Source organism: Homo sapiens, chromosome 3 (assembly GCF_000001405.40).
Source record: "Homo sapiens chromosome 3, GRCh38.p14 Primary Assembly".
NCBI lineage: Eukaryota > Metazoa > Chordata > Mammalia > Primates > Hominidae > Homo > Homo sapiens.
This window is the reverse complement of record NC_000003.12, coordinates 66870315-66886322: the sequence shown is the minus strand read 5'-3', so window position 1 is coordinate 66886322 and position 16008 is coordinate 66870315. Positions and strand designations below refer to the sequence as shown.

The 16008-nt window shown below is 37.5% G+C and overlaps 1 long non-coding RNA gene across 1 annotated transcript in view; it reads left to right on the top strand.

Moving 5' to 3' along the window:
- Nucleotides 1-16008, top strand: part of LOC105377144 (uncharacterized) — a 192342-nt gene that overhangs the window by 86096 nt on the left and 90238 nt on the right. Inside the window, exon 2 of the long non-coding RNA XR_940939.2 lies at nt 6729-6812. This is a non-coding gene — a long non-coding RNA (uncharacterized LOC105377144). The remainder of the gene's footprint in view (nt 1-6728; nt 6813-16008) is intronic.

The window sequence follows — 16008 nt, the reverse complement described above, 5'->3', positions numbered from 1 at the left end:
GCCACATTACCCAAAGTTGAGTAAATTGTGCCATTAACCGCCTATGTAATTTTAGACAAGTTACTTAAACTCTGTATGTCTCAGATTCCTCATCTGTAAAAATGGAGTTAATAAGCATCTATTTTATATTTTGTTGAGGAGTAGACAACTTAATATATGAAGAATACTTAGAGTATCCAGTTGATGACAACTTAGTTGCTGTCATCATCACCATTATCAACATCATCATGGAAACTTTCAGACATTTTAGTTGACATTTGAGTCAGGATGGGTTGCTTTTTTTCCAGTTTCTGTGCCCTTTTTGGGATGTGGCATAAGATGGGTTGAATAAGATAATGTTTAATAAGCTAACTGCATTTGCAACTTGTGCTAAAGGTTTGCTTTTTCCTCTTAAGCTCTTCCTTAAAAATTGCCTTGACAATTTTTATTTTCTTTGTAAATACAAAACATATGAGCAGAATCAGCGAAACTCAAGAAGGGTCTGCATTTATTTCTTTCTAAGGGTTTGGATCTGCATTTACAATGGCTACACATTTAATCAGTGAATTCTCTTGTGATTATTCGCTGCCCATTAATCAGCTTGCCCCCCTAAAAGGTGACAAAATGGTGGTTCCTTTTAAGTTTCAAAGAGGCCAGTTTAATCTGGGCCTTCTGTTGCTTTGTTAGGGAAATCAAACTCCCAGAATTGTTCTTTGGCTTTCTCTAGTTGCTCAGAGGTCGTGGGAAAGTCGATGTGAGAGCCGCAGTGTGATTCATCATTGCCTGATGAAATAGTGTGACACCTAGAAACCATGTTCTAACCAGTGGCACTCACATTCTCTGTCTGTCTGTTAAATCATCTACTAGAAAGTAAATGCAGTGGTGACTCTGAGCAGGATAGGTAATATGTGGTCACTCCCGATGTTAAAGCTGTTTCCAACTAGAGTGATATAAGTGACAGAAGATAATTGGGCTTTTCAACCCCAGTTTGTGTCTGCCTCTATGAAGAATATTTTTAGAACCTTCCTTCTTTCCTTGAGTCTTTACTTTTTATGCATTTGCGATAAAGGTGATAAAATAACTGCATAAGTAAAACTTTGCAGTCCATGTCAAAGAACAGCCTACTCCAAAAGAAGGTGTTTAAAAATGGCCCTATGAGCAGCTGTCTACGTCTTGTAGATTTTTATGCTCAGGAGATGTTCTGCACAATGAATTTCATTATACAGTAAATGTTCTCATTTTGTAGAAATTAGAGAATTGTCTCTTGGAGACAAACTTCAGTCTCTTGATTAGTGGTCAGCTTGGTGACTTCTATTTCCTCTCCTTTTTCTGGCGGAGTGCCTTCCTTGAGTCTCAGAGAGGGAAGAAACTTTGATCTTAGAGGCAGAAATGTATCTGGAAAATCTGTCCAGTTATGACAACTACATGCTTACACGCCTTCAGTGTACAACCCCTTTCTGCTCAAAACTACATACCTTTCTTTTCTCTCCTTTCTTTCCATTCTCTCCTTCCCCTCCTTCCCTCTCCCCACTCTCCTCTTTCCTCTGTCCCCTCCCCTCCCCTCCTTTCCCTCCCTCCCTCCCTCCCTTCTGTCCCTCCCCTCACCTCCCTCCTTCTCTTCCCTTTCCTTCCTTCCTTCCTTCCTTCCTTCCTTCCTTCCTTTCTTCCTTCCTTCTTTTTCTCAGCATCTTGCTCTGTCACCCAGGCTGTAGTACAGTGGCATGATCACAGGTCACGACACCCTCAACCTCCCCACGCTCAGGTGATCCTCCCAACTCAGCCTCCCGAGTAGGTGAGACCCCAGGTGAGTGCCACCATGCCCAGCTAATTTTTTGTATTTTTTGTAGAGATGGGGTTTTGTCCTTTGCCTAGGCTGGCATCAAACTCTTGGGCCCAAGAGATCCACCCATTTCAGCCTCCCAAAGTACTGGGATTACAGGTGTGAGCCACCATGCCCGGACCTTCCTTCTTTTGTTTCCTCCTTGCTTCCTTCCGTCTCTCCTTCCTTCCTTTTTCCTTCCTTACACTTCTTAAGCATTTACTTTCAACCTATATGTCACCTCTGTACTAAACCCCTCAGAAAGAGAATAAGACAAGGTCCTGTCCCCTGCCTTCATTTTGCCCAGAGACAACTGGGGAAACAGACAAATAAACTAACATGAAAAGGTTAGAGCCTCACTATTCCAAGTGTGATCCCCTAGGAACTTGTTAGAAATACACAATCTCAGCCCCACTCCAGACCTACCACGTATTTGCAAGTTTCCCAGGTGATCTTGTTAGACGTATGTGCAAAGTGCTGTACTATGAAAGGCTAGGGTCCAGACAGCCAAGTGAGGGCACAGGCTGTGAAGCCATCTTAACTCTATGAGTTCCTTGTCTTCCCATGCACAATCTCATAGCAACCCTGCTGTCCAGTTAGCACTGTGTCCCCAGGACCATGCAGCTGCACTGTGCCAAGGGTGTGGGGGAAAAGTAGGCCAAACTCTGCAGACTGCAGGCCACAACTCCAGGGGGTGTGACTTATACCCCCTTATATGCAACACCATTAGGTATCCCTAAGACAAAGAGTAAGCCTTTTGCTCTTCTACTTACCCACAATACCTACAGAGGGAAGGGAAAAACTTAGGTCAAAGGTCAAAGCCCCGAATAGCAGATTAAGTGAGGTTGATCTGGTCATATATATTTCTCTAATAAGTTTTCTGTTTTCACCCTTGTACTTCTAATACTTCTTTGAAAATCTGGTGAAAGTTGTGTGTCTTTTTCCGAAACACTTACAGAGAGAAGATACATGAATTTACGCATCCTTTAGGACACTTATAGGACCCCTCAAATCCAATTCAGGACCCCCTTAGGTTCAGCTTTCTCCAGGAGGTTAAGAATCACTGACTTGCAGAAACGTTTGATGGATTTATAATAGCTACATTTTCTACAGCATATTGAAAGCTTTTACTCCATGCCAGAAATTATACTGAGCAATTTCCAAACATTATATTGATTAATGCCTGCAACAGTACTGTCTGGTAGGCCTGTATCAACATCATTTTACAGATGAGGAAACTGAAGGATAGAGAGGTTTTCAAATTGACCAAGGTCATACCCTACAAAAAGACAGAAGTGGAAATCAAACACCAGTCTATTAGACTGCAGCACACATGCAACTTTACCACACAACTGTCTCCTCAGGAAGAAATACTACCTTTGAAAAAAAGGCAACAAATATATGTAATGTCATTGAGCTGTATACTTAAAAGTGGCTACAATAATATATTTTATGTTATATAAATAAGGCAACAACCAAGAATATACACCTCACAGAGCATGATGCTTGGAAATGTTCAGTGTTTCCAAGTCCCTCTAGACTCCTTGATTCACCACCCTTTTTCTTAAAAAGTAATGAAATACCAGCCAGGTGCGGTGGCTCACGCCTGTAATCCCAGCACTTTGGGAGGCCGAGGCAGGTGGATCACCTGAGGTCGGGAGTTCGAGACCAGCCTGACCAAAATGGAGAAACTCCATCTCTACTAAAAATACAAAATTAGCCGGGCGTGGTGGTGCATGCCTGTAATCCCAGCTACTGGGGAGGCTGAGGCAGGAGAATCGCTTGAACCTGGGAGGTGGAGGTTGCAGTGAGCTGAGATAGCACCATTGCACTCCAGCATGGGCAACAAGAGCGAAACTCCGTCTCAAAAAAAAAAAAAAAAAAAGAAAAAAAGAAATACCAAACCTAAATTTAGGCACCTCTGTCCCTTGCTCACCGCAACTGAAAACCGTAACTACAGAATGATCAAACTACAGACCCATCTAAAGTCCTCAAGTACTGTTTATAGGATAGACTTTCAACTTATGGTTACCCTCGAATATGCCAGATATTTGATATATTCATGTAGGTCTTTCAAGTTATAGAATTTTTTTTTTATTTCAATTGGTTTTCGGGAACAGGTGGTATTTGGTTACATGAATAAGTTCTTTAGTGGTGATTTCTTAGATTTTGGTGCACCCACAACCCAAGCAGTGTACACTGTACCCAATGTGTATTCTTTTATCCCTCACCCCTCCCACCCCTTTCCCCAAATCCCCAAAGTCCACTGCATCATTCTTATGCCTTTGCATCCTCACAGCCTAGCTTCCACTTATGAGTAAGAACATATGATGTTTGATTTTCCATTCCTGAGTTACTTCAGTTAGAATAATGGTCTCCAATTCCATCCAGGCTGCTGTAAATAACATTATCTTGTTCTTTTTTATGGCTGAGTAGTATTCCATGGTGAGTATATATATATTTTATATATATAATATATATGTTTTATATTTTATATATTGTATATATGTTTGATATATTTTATATATATGGCTGAGAAGTATGCCATGGTATATAAATATGCGATATATATATCACATTTTCCTTATCCACTCATTGCTTGATGAGCATTTGGGCTGGTTCTATATTTTTGCAGTTGTGAATTGTGCTGCTAGATCTCCAATTTGATCAAGTTATAGAACTTTTAAAGGGATATCATTGCTCTTTATTCTATCCTTAGCTAGCAATATGAGAAATCCTGTCGAATAGCAGTGTTTAAGTGTTTTATTCCCAGTGTTAAGGGCCAGCTAGAGGAGTAGTTTAAGAGCGTGGATTCCGACTGGTTCAAATCCTGCATTATTAGTTCTGCAATCTGGGGCAAGTTTTACCCTTTATATGGCTTCATTTCCTTATCAGTAAAATGGAGGTAATAGTGAGATAAGCCTTCCAGGGTGGTTGTGATGATTAAATGTGATGATACAGTAAAATTTCTTGTAGAATGCCAGGTCCACGAAGAGTGAGTGCTTAACAAATAATAGTGTTGGTGAGAAGGGGATGATGATATCGTTATTCAGATTCTGAAGAGTCTCCTGAATCATTCAGCATGTCTTCTCATGACTTACTTCCTTCAATAATCCATCCCTGTGACCTTGACCTCTGTGGATTTTCATTATTGACAAAATAAACACCTTTTCCATTTTTTGAAGAATAATTGAAGGACACAAAAATGCACATATTTAAAATGAATAAGTTGATGTGTTGATGTTTGTATTTGCCTGTGAAACTATCACCACAATCAAGATAATGAACATATCCATCACCCCCAATAGTTTCTTTGTACCCCCTTTGTTATCCCTCCCTCCCTCTCCCAACACCAACCCCAGGCAACCACTGATCTGCTCTCTGACAGATTCCTCTTGAGATATATTAAAGCATACTGAGGCTTCCTCTGCATTTTGTATTTGACTGAGCATATCATTTTGCCTTCTCCTTAAACATAATTACATATTTAGCTTCTCTTAAAAGTGACAAGGGTTTCTGATGGGCAGGTGTTCAGCAACGTAGCCTTTCAAGATACATAATAGCCTTTCAAGATACATAAATCAAAAAGGCCAACCTCTCTTCACTTTGAATTTCCATGAGTTATCCTGACAAATTTCGCAGATTCTCCTGATGTTATTTGTGTTGCCTGCTGTGTTACCAGCAGTCCTCTGCTTACCAGATATATTTTTGTTTCAGGATTGCCTCACAGTATTATCATTTTAGAAAACACCTGAAATGTTTTCCAAATGCATAAAGCAACTGTCAGGTGTCCCCAGGTTCAGTTAAGATTCACAGGACTACCGTGAGGTGTCCCTTCTAGAAATGGGTCCATTTACTTAATATGCAGGGGAAGATGATGATGTCACAATTTATTTCTCTTCTTTGAAAGTTTTTTTTTTTTAATTTCAATTGTTAGATGCATCTCAATTTCAAAAACATTAAATATGGAAGGAAAGATGTGCATCTTAGGGCCCAAGAAAGGTGGTAACTCTCAACTGTCATTTGGTACTCTTATTTCATTTTTGTTTCGTTTAAATGATTTTCTTCCAATGGGGAGATGTTGGTCAAAGGGTACAAAGCCTCATTTAGACATGATGAATATGCTCTGGAGATCAATTATACAGCATGGGGATTATAGTTAATAATAACGAATTGGATACTTGAAAATTGCCAAAAAAGTAGATCTTAATTTTTCTCACCACAAAACATTATATGTATATATGTAAGTGGATAGATATGTTAGTTTGATTTAATCATTTTACAGTATACACATATATCAAATATCACATTGCACTCTGTAAATACATACTTTTATTTGTGCCAGTTAGACTTTAACTATAAATTTCATTTCTTTATACTCAATATAAGGCCTAACACATGGCTCAAATGCATACAGACCTGCATACACAGAAAGAAAGTCAAACTTTATTTAATCTATTCTTCTCATTTTGCAGAAAGGCAAAAAAATGATAAATACCATGCCCGGGTTCATATAGTCTTTACAGAGTCAGGATTTGTTCTAGATTCCCTAATTCTCTGTCTACTGGTCATTTTAGCACAGGTAGGATGGAAGCTAGGAAATGACATTTTGAAAGCTCCCCAGGCAGGTAATTCTTATATGCACTAGGATTTGACTTGCTGCACATGAGATTCTCAGAATTTGCACACTTGGTAATTCTAGTTTCAGCAATTCAAGAGATAGCGGGCATATGAATATAAATGCTTATAATTTTGCTGAGCCACTTAGTGGAATTATACTACAGGCTATAAAACAAATACTTGAGTATGAGTCAATTACCTAGTGACTGAGGCTTACTGATCACCCTACATCCACATTTAAATTCTGCGTCATTCATTCATTCATTTGTATATTCATTCATTTAGTCATTAAGCTCTTGTTTTTCACCAGGCACTACCCTGGGATTCAGACACCATTATGAGGATGCAGTGCTGAGTAAGACTGGCAAAGTTCCTGACATCTGGTGCAGAGGAGGTAAACAATAAATAAATAGTTAATAAGGCAGGCAAATAATGCTGCAATTGCAAGCCTCAACAAAGATTACAAAGGAAAATAATAGGAAGTTGTATTCATCCTGAAACCTGAAGGAGCAGAAATCATAGGTGAAGAGTAACTCTTGACAACATATCTCAATATTTTATTTGGATACAAACACAATGTAATATTAATATTTAATCTTGACTCATACTCCGTAGTTCTAAAAACTAGAATGCGCCTAGTGTTTTTATTCCAGCTATTATGTCCCAGATGCCTAAAAGACTCTAAGTAAACATTTTAGAGATGCTTTGGGAAGCAGCAGAACGCCTTTGAAAGGAACTTGCTCATGAGCTGAAGTCCTGATTCTGTTTTCTTCTGTATCCCCAGCCCTGCCTTAGCAATGAGTATATCGTGAGTCTGGCAACCCTCCTTAAGTGTCTGAAGGAACCCTTAAATGTTGGTCATCTTTACTGCATTATAGAGTAAGATAGCTTTCAGAAGTGTTTGGGAGGTTTCAGCCCCTATCTCTCGTGCAAATTGAGTGTCTGCTCTAATATACCCATGCCTCTCATGGAATTTCTTTGAGTTTCATCCCAAGGAGGCTGTCTCCAATCATTTCTGCCTCCTTCAAGCATTTCACCTTACATTTAGTATTCTTTTATCCACACCCTTTGTGGAATGTGTGAGCTAATTTCATTCTCTAGTACATATTTGGATGAATAGGTTTAAATTATTTGTTTTATAGACTCTTGTAATTATAAAAATGTACTTCAGGCTGGGCACAGTGGCTCACCTGTGTAATCCCAGCACTTTGGGAGGTCGAGGCAGGCAGATCCCTTGAGGTCAGGAGTTCGTGACCAGCCTGGCCAACATGATGAAACCCCGTCTCTACCAAAAAATACAAAAATTAGCCAGACATGGTGGCGGGAGCCTGTAGTCCCAGCTACTCAGGAGGCAGAGGCAGGAGAATGCCTTGAACCCAGGAGGCAGAGGTTGCAGTGAGCCAGGATCGCGCCACTGCACTACAGCCTGGGTGACAGAGCAAGACTCCATCTCAAAAAAAAAAAAAAAAAAAGTACTTTAGTCTTTACAATTTGGGGTGAAACATATTAAATGTACCAAAGACATATGAATATCAGATATTTGGGGTGAAGCATATTAAATGTACCCACAGACATATGAATATCAGATTTAAAAAAAGTTTTTGAGAGTCACATCTAAACAATTTTCACTACAGGCTTGCAGCCAGCTACCTAGATTCAAATCCTGGCTCTGCCGTCTTACTTGCTGTGTGACTGTGGGTAAGGTATTAAACTTCTTTGTGCCTCAGTTTCTTCCTATGTACAATGTGTTGTACAATACTTATGTGCAATGCTTATGTAATAGCATTAGGGTTATCAGAATATAGCAAAATGAAATTAGGTAGTGCATATCTAGCACTCAGATTAGTGCCCAGTGAATAATAAGCCCTGAATAAATTAACAGGTATCATTATTTTCTCTGGTCTATTAACCAGTAGTACCTGATAAGACAGGATGAAATCCTCTGAGAATTGAATCTCATTTGTTCATACAATACTATGGAAATGTTGCTGTCTTTCTCTGTATCAACATCAGCCCTTAATTTTGGAACATTTAAATTCCTTCTTTGTGAACTTCAATGAAAATAAATATTTTTTAAAAATACTGATTTCAGTGGTGACATTCAAGCAATTATGTGCAAACCATTTCAGATTCTTTAGAAATGATTGTTCCCAGAATTGCCAAAAAAAAAAAAAATGTACCTGAGCTACATAGAGGGGCAGCTCCTCCAAGCACAAATTATTGAAAGGTTAACAACAGTAATAATAATAAACCAGTAACTCATAAGCCTTTATTCCATATGTATGTTAGTCTATTCTCACCCTGCTATAAAGAAATACCTGAGACTAGGTAATTTATAAACAAAAGAGGTTTAATCGGCTCATGGTTCTGCAGGCTGTATAGGAAGCATGGTACCAGCATCTGCTGAGCTTCTGGGGAGGCCTCAGGAAACTGATAATCATGGCAGAAGTCAAAAGAGGAACAGACATTTCACATGGTCAGAGCAGGAGCAACAGAGTGAGGGGGACAGCCACACAAGTTTAAGCGACCAGATCTCACAAGAACTCACTATCACGAGGACAGTACTATGAGCGATGGCGCTAAGCCATTCATGAGAAATCCACCCCCAGTATCCAATTACCTCCTACCAGGCCCCACCTCCAACACTGGGGATTACATTTCAATATGAGATTTTGGCAGGGACACACATCCGAACTATAGCAGTATATATTTTACTTTATTAGTTTTTCCCCCTTTTCCCCTTTTTGCCCTCCCCCCACCATCCCAAATCTCTTCAGGATAATAAACTGAGAGAAAATATGATATTTTTAAATTAGTATATAATGTTTTGTCATATAGAAAAGCCAGTTCACTTAATTCTGTCTATTTGACAAATGACAGTAATTGATTTTTTTAAATGTTAAGCCAACCTTGACTTCCTAGAATAATCCCTGCTAGGTCAAGATAGAGCATTTATTTTATATGCTGCTGGATTCACTTTGCTAAGATTTTGTTAAGGACTTTAAATCTATGTTCATGAGATATGTTTTTCTCTTTGTAATATCTTTGTCAGATTTTGATGACAGGATTATACTAGCCTTATGTGTTTAAAAATATTCTTTCTACTTTATTTTCTAAAAGAATTTGTGCATTATTGGTATTATTTCTTTAATAGATAGAATTTACTAATAAAACTATCTGGGTTTGGAGTTTTCTGTATAGAAAGTTTTCTCACAACTAATCAATGTCTTTAATAGAAATAGAGATATTCAAATTTTCTGTTTCATATTTTTTCAGTTCTAGTAAGTTACGTTTTTCAAAGAACTTGTCTATTTTACTTAATTTTTTTTAATTTCATGGATTAAGTTATTTATAATTTCTTGATTATCCTTTCAATGTCTATAGAATAACTTCTCCTGGTTATTCTAGAATAATATTCCTGGTACTGGTAATTCATATTCTCTCTTTATACATACACATATCTTTCTAGTTAAAGATTTGGGTTTGTTGATTTTCCCAATTACGTGTATGTTTTCTGTTTCATTGACTTCCAACTTTTATGATTTTCTTCATCTTACTTACTTTGACATTACTTTGTTCTTCTTTTTCTAATTTATTAACTGAAAACTTAGATCATTGATTTTAAGCCTTTATTTCTTCTCATGTAATATTTTGAAGCTATAAATCTTCCGTGAAGCATTCATTGCTTTTGCTGCCCGCCCCCCACATATTTTGACATATTGTATCTTTATCATTTAGTTAAAATTATGTTTCAATTTTCTTTATAACTTTTTCTTTGATCATTAACTTATCTAGAAGTGTGCTGTTTCATTTCCAAGGATTTGAGTTATATATATATATATTTTTTTTTAAACTTATTTCTGATTTGATTTCTGTTTGGTCAGAGAACACACTATGAATGATTTTAATTCTTTTAAATTTGTTGAGATTCATGCTCTGGGCCACCAAATGGCTGTGGGTGCATGTATTAATAATGATCATGCATACTTGAAAAGAATGTATATTCTGCCCTTGTTGGGTGAAGTGTTCTATAAATGTCAACTGGGTCAAGAGTTGATACTATGTTCAAATCTTCCATATCTTTACTGATTTTTTGTGTGTGTGTAGTTGTTTTATCAATTGCTGCAAGAGGAAAATTAAAATAAGAATTGTGGATTTCTCTATTTCCCTCTTTAATCCTGTTAATTTTTACTTCATGTATTTTGATGTACTATTATTAGACATATTTACATTTACATTTGTTATGCCTTCCTGATGAATGGACCCTTTACCATCATGAAATATTCCTATTTATCTCTGATAATACTTTTTGCCTTGATGTCTACTTTGTCTAATGTTAATATACTTACTCCAACCTTTTAAAAGGCTTACAGTTTGCAGGATGTAGCTTTCTGATCTGTTAATTTTACCTTATCTCTCTCTTATTATTATTTAAAATGTGTCTACTATAGACAGCATATGGTTGGATATATTTTTTTAATCCATTCTGACAAGCTCTGCCTTTTAATCGGATTATTTCATCCATTTACATTTAGTTAACTAATATAGTTCAATTCAGGTCTACTGTTCTGCCATTTCTTTTCTCTTTGCCCACTCTGATTTTCGTTCCTCTGGATTTTCTTTCTTGCCTTTTATTGAATTAACTGGATATTTTTTAAATTCCATCTCAATCTATCTGTTGACTTATTAGCTATCTCTTTCCATTTCTTAGAGTTTCTTCAGGGATTACAATGTGACATTCTTAACTTTTCACAATCTACTTAGACTTTATATTGTTTCATTTTATGTAAAATGTATGGGAAGACCAGTGTAACATTTATCACTCTATCGCCATTATTTTTGCTATCATCATATTATTACATATATATATACATATATATGGAGTGCATATATATTTACATATATATGGAGTGCATATATATTTACATATATATGGAGTGCATATATATTTACATATATATGGAGTGCATATATATTTACATATATATGGAGTGCATATATATTTACATATATATGGAGTGCATATATATTTACATATATATGGAGTGCATATATATTTACATATATATGGAGTGCATATATATTTACATATATATGGAGTGCATATATATTTACATATATATGGAGTGCATATATATTTACATATATATGGAGTGCATATATATTTACATATATATGGAGTGCATATATATTTACATATATATGGAGTGCATATATATTTACATATATATGGAGTGCATATATATTTACATATATATGGAGTGCATATATATTTACATATATATGGAGTGCATATATATTTACATATATATGGAGTGCATATATATTTACATATATATGGAGTGCATATATATTTACATATATATGGAGTGCATATATATTTACATATATATGGAGTGCATATATATTTACATATATATATGGAGTGCATATATATTTACATATATATATGGAGTGCATATATATTTACATATATATATGGAGTGCATATATATTTACATATATATGGAGTGCATATATATTTACATATATATGGAGTGCATATATATTTACATATATATGGAGTGCATATATATTTACATATATATATGGAGTGCATATATATTTACATATATATATGGAGTGCACATATATTTACATATATATATATGGAGTGCATATATATTTACATATATATATGGAGTGCATATATATTTATATATATATGGAGTGCATATATATATATGGAGTGCATATATATTTATATATATATATGGAGTGCATATATATTTATATATATATATGGAGTGCATATATATTTATATATATATATGGAGTGCATATATATTTATATATGTATATGGAGTGCATATATATATATGGCTGGAGTGCAGTGGCACAATCTCGGCTCACTGCAAACTCTGCCTCCCAGGTTCAAGCGATTCTCCTGCCTCAGCCTCCCACACAGCTGGGGTTACAGGCACTTGTCACCACTGCTGGCTAATCTTTGTATTTTTAGTAGAGACGGGGTTTCACCATGTTGGCCAGGCTAATCCAAACTCCTGACCTCAAGTGATCTGCCTGCCTCAACCTCCAAAAGTGCTGGGATTACAAGCCTGACCAGAGATCATGCCACAGCACTCCAGCCTGGGCAACAGAGCGCGACTCCATCTCAAAACGAAAAACAAACAAAGAATTGACTTTAGTTCTTAAGTTTTATCTTTTTTTAACCGAATGGTTCTTTTAGAGACAAGTTCTTAGGTTTGATCATGTGTCAAAGTTTCTATATTTCTTTGGAAATTTTTTCATCTATTTGAAATGTCTTTATTTCACCACTTGTCTTTTTTCTTTTTTTTTTTTTTTCCTGAGACAGAGTCCCGCTCTGTCGCCCAGGCTGGAGTGCAGTGGCGCGATCTCGGCTTGCTGCAAGCTCCGCCCCACAGGTTCACGCCATTCTCCTGCCTCAGCCTTCCCAGTAGCTGGGACTACAGGCACCCGCCACCACGCCCGGCTAATTTTTTGTATTTTTAGTAGAGACGGGGTTTCACCGTGTTAGCCAGGATGATCTTGATCTCCTGACCTCGTGATCCACCTGCCCCGGCCTCCCAAAGTGCTGGGATTACAGGCATTAGCCACCGCGCCCGGCCCACCACTTGTCTTAAATAATCTTTTGCTGGATTCAAATTCTGAAATTCTTTTTTTTTGAGACAGTCTTGCTGTGTCACTCAGGCTGGAGTACAGTAGTGTGGTCATGGCTCACTGTAGCATTGGCTTCCCAGGCTCAGGTGATTCCCCCACCTCAGCTTCCCAAGTAGCTAGGACCACAGATGTGTGCAACCATGCTCAGCTAATTTTTTTTTTTTTTTTGAAACACAGTCTCCCTATGTTGCCAGGGCTGGTCTCAAACTCCTCAAGCAATCCTTGAGGTGGAAGGACTCAAGCAATCCTTCCACCACCGCCTCCCAAAATGCTGGGATTACAGGCTTGAGACAATGCACCTAGCCCTGGATTTTTTTACAAAAGCTTTTAGCACTTTAAAGATAATGTCTTATGGCCTCCATTGTTTCTGATTAGAAGTCAGCAATAATTCAAATTGTTTTCCTATAGGTAATATATCATCTTGCTCTAGCTGCTTTAAAGATTTTCTCTTTAATCTTGGTCTTCAGCAATGATCTGCCTAGGTGTGGTTTTCATCGAATATGGCTTTTGGTTTGCTGGCATTTCTGAATCTGTTTATTTGTCTTTTATAAAATTTGGAGAAATTTTAGTTATTATTACCCTAAAGATGTTTTCTCTGTTCTTTTCTTTCATTCGGGGACTCAAATCACATGTATGTTAAATAGTTTTATATTGTCCCACAGGTCCCCGAGGCTCTGTATTTTAATTTTTTTTCTAGTAGTTTTCATCTGTGTTCTTCAGCTTGGAAAATTTCTATTAATCAATTTAAAATTTACTTACTCTTTGTTCTGTCATCTCCAATATGCTAGGCTCTAACAGTTTATTTCAGATATTATGTTTTTCAGTTATTGATATGGTTTGGACCTGTGTACCTGCCAAATCTTATTTTGAAATGTAATCTGCAGTGTTGGCAGTGGGGCCTGGTGGGAGGTGTTTGCATCGTGAGGACATATCACTCATGAAAGGCTTAGTGCCATGCCCTTGGTGATGAGTAAGTTCAAGGGAGATCTGGTTGTTTAAAAGTGTCTGGCACCTCCCTCTCTCTCTCTCCCGCTCTTGCCAGGTGAGATGCCTCCTCCAGCTTCATGATTGTAAGCTTCCTGAAGCCCTTAGCAGAAGCTGATGCTGGCACCATGCTTCCTGTAAATCCTGCGGAAACAAGAGCCAGTCAAACCTCTTTTTTAAATAAATTACCCAGTCCCAGATATTTCTTTATAGTAATGCAAGAATGGCCTAACACAGTTATGGACTTTATGTTAGGTTCATTTTTATTCTTATTTTGAGACAGGGTTTTGCTCTTTGTGCAGGCTGGAGTGCAGTGGCGCCATCTTGGCCCACCGCAACCTCCACCTCCAGGGTTCGAGCAATTCTCCCAATTAGCTGAGACCACAGGCTCATGCCACCATGCCCGGCTATTTTTTTTGTATTTTTTGTAGAGATGGGGTTTCACCATGTTGCCCAGGCTGGTCTCTAACTCCTGAGCCCAAGTGATCTGCCTGCGTGGGCCTCCCTTCTTGCAAGGGAATTACAGGCGTGAGCCATCATGCCCAGCCTGGGTTCATTTTTAAAGTTCTATTTCTCTGCTGAGATTTTCTTTCTTTTTACTCATTATAAGCATTTAAAAAATAAACCTTGACATCTGGGTCATCTTGAGGTTGGTCCCTGTAGATTGTTTTTTTTCTCTTCCTGGATAATGTTTTTAATTTCTTCATATGTTGAGTAATTTAAGATAGGATTGGAAACGTTGTGAATAATATCATAGAGATTCTGCATTCTGTTGTCTCTCTCTGAAGAGTATTAGTTTTTTTGTTTTTTTTTTTTTCAAGTAGTGCTTAACTTGACTAAACTCAACTTGATAAGTTTGTCCTCTCTGCAGTGGCTTACAGCTAAAATGTTAATTTGCGCCTTTTTTTAGCCTCACGTGGGCTACTTGGAGTCTTCCCTACTCGTGCACAGTTCAGGTATCAATTTGGGCAGAAGTTTTTTTGTTTTGTTTTGTTTTTAAACTTTCATTTTAAGTTCAGGGGTACATGTGCAGGTTTGTTATATAGGTAAGCTTGTGTCATGGGGGTTTGTCGTAGAGATTATTTCATCACCCAGGCATTAAGCCTAGTACCCATTAGTTATTTTTCCTGATCTTCTCCCTTCATTCTCCAATAGGCCTTAGTGTGTGTTGTTCCCCTCTGTGTGCCCATGGGTTCTCGTCATTTAGCTCCCACTTATAAGTGAGAACATGCATATTTGGTTTTCGGTTCCTGCCTTATTGGGCAGAATGTATACGCAGAAATGGGTGCTTCCATTTTCTGAATCTCTTCTTTTTGGAATTTTCTCCATTGTTTTCCCACATCTCTCGTTTCTCTAAACTTTGTCCTCTGGTACCTCAAGCCAATAAGACTACAGGTGTTCTGTCTGAATTTAGCCAGCAAGGAACAGACCAAAACTTAGCATCAGGCTGAAGGTTGTAAAAGATCAGGAAATTCATCCAGTACCCTTCCCTTCTTGCAAGGGATAATTCTCCTCCAGTATCACCTTCATCACTTTCCAGTGCCTCTAGATACTTGTTTTTATATTTCTATTTACGTAAGGGCATTGCCTGTTAGGAGCTACATGGTCATCACTAGAATCAGAATCCATGTATGTATTCTTGGTGCCTGTTTTTTTACCTTCTCTTGTGTATTCACTTATTATTGTATTGAGAACCTACATAATGTACTCACATTTTTCTCCTTGTTGTGGAATAGCCTTTACTGTTATCTTTCTGACAGTCTCAAAATCCTATGGAATAACTGCCAGATTCCCGACAGCTCAATGAAATACTGATACTCTCACCAATTAAAACTTAGAAGTGGATATTCAGACAGCTTTTTGGTTCAGACAGTTTATTCAGTGCCTGTGTCCTTGCTCTGTTGGCAAGGTGGAGGATATAATCTACT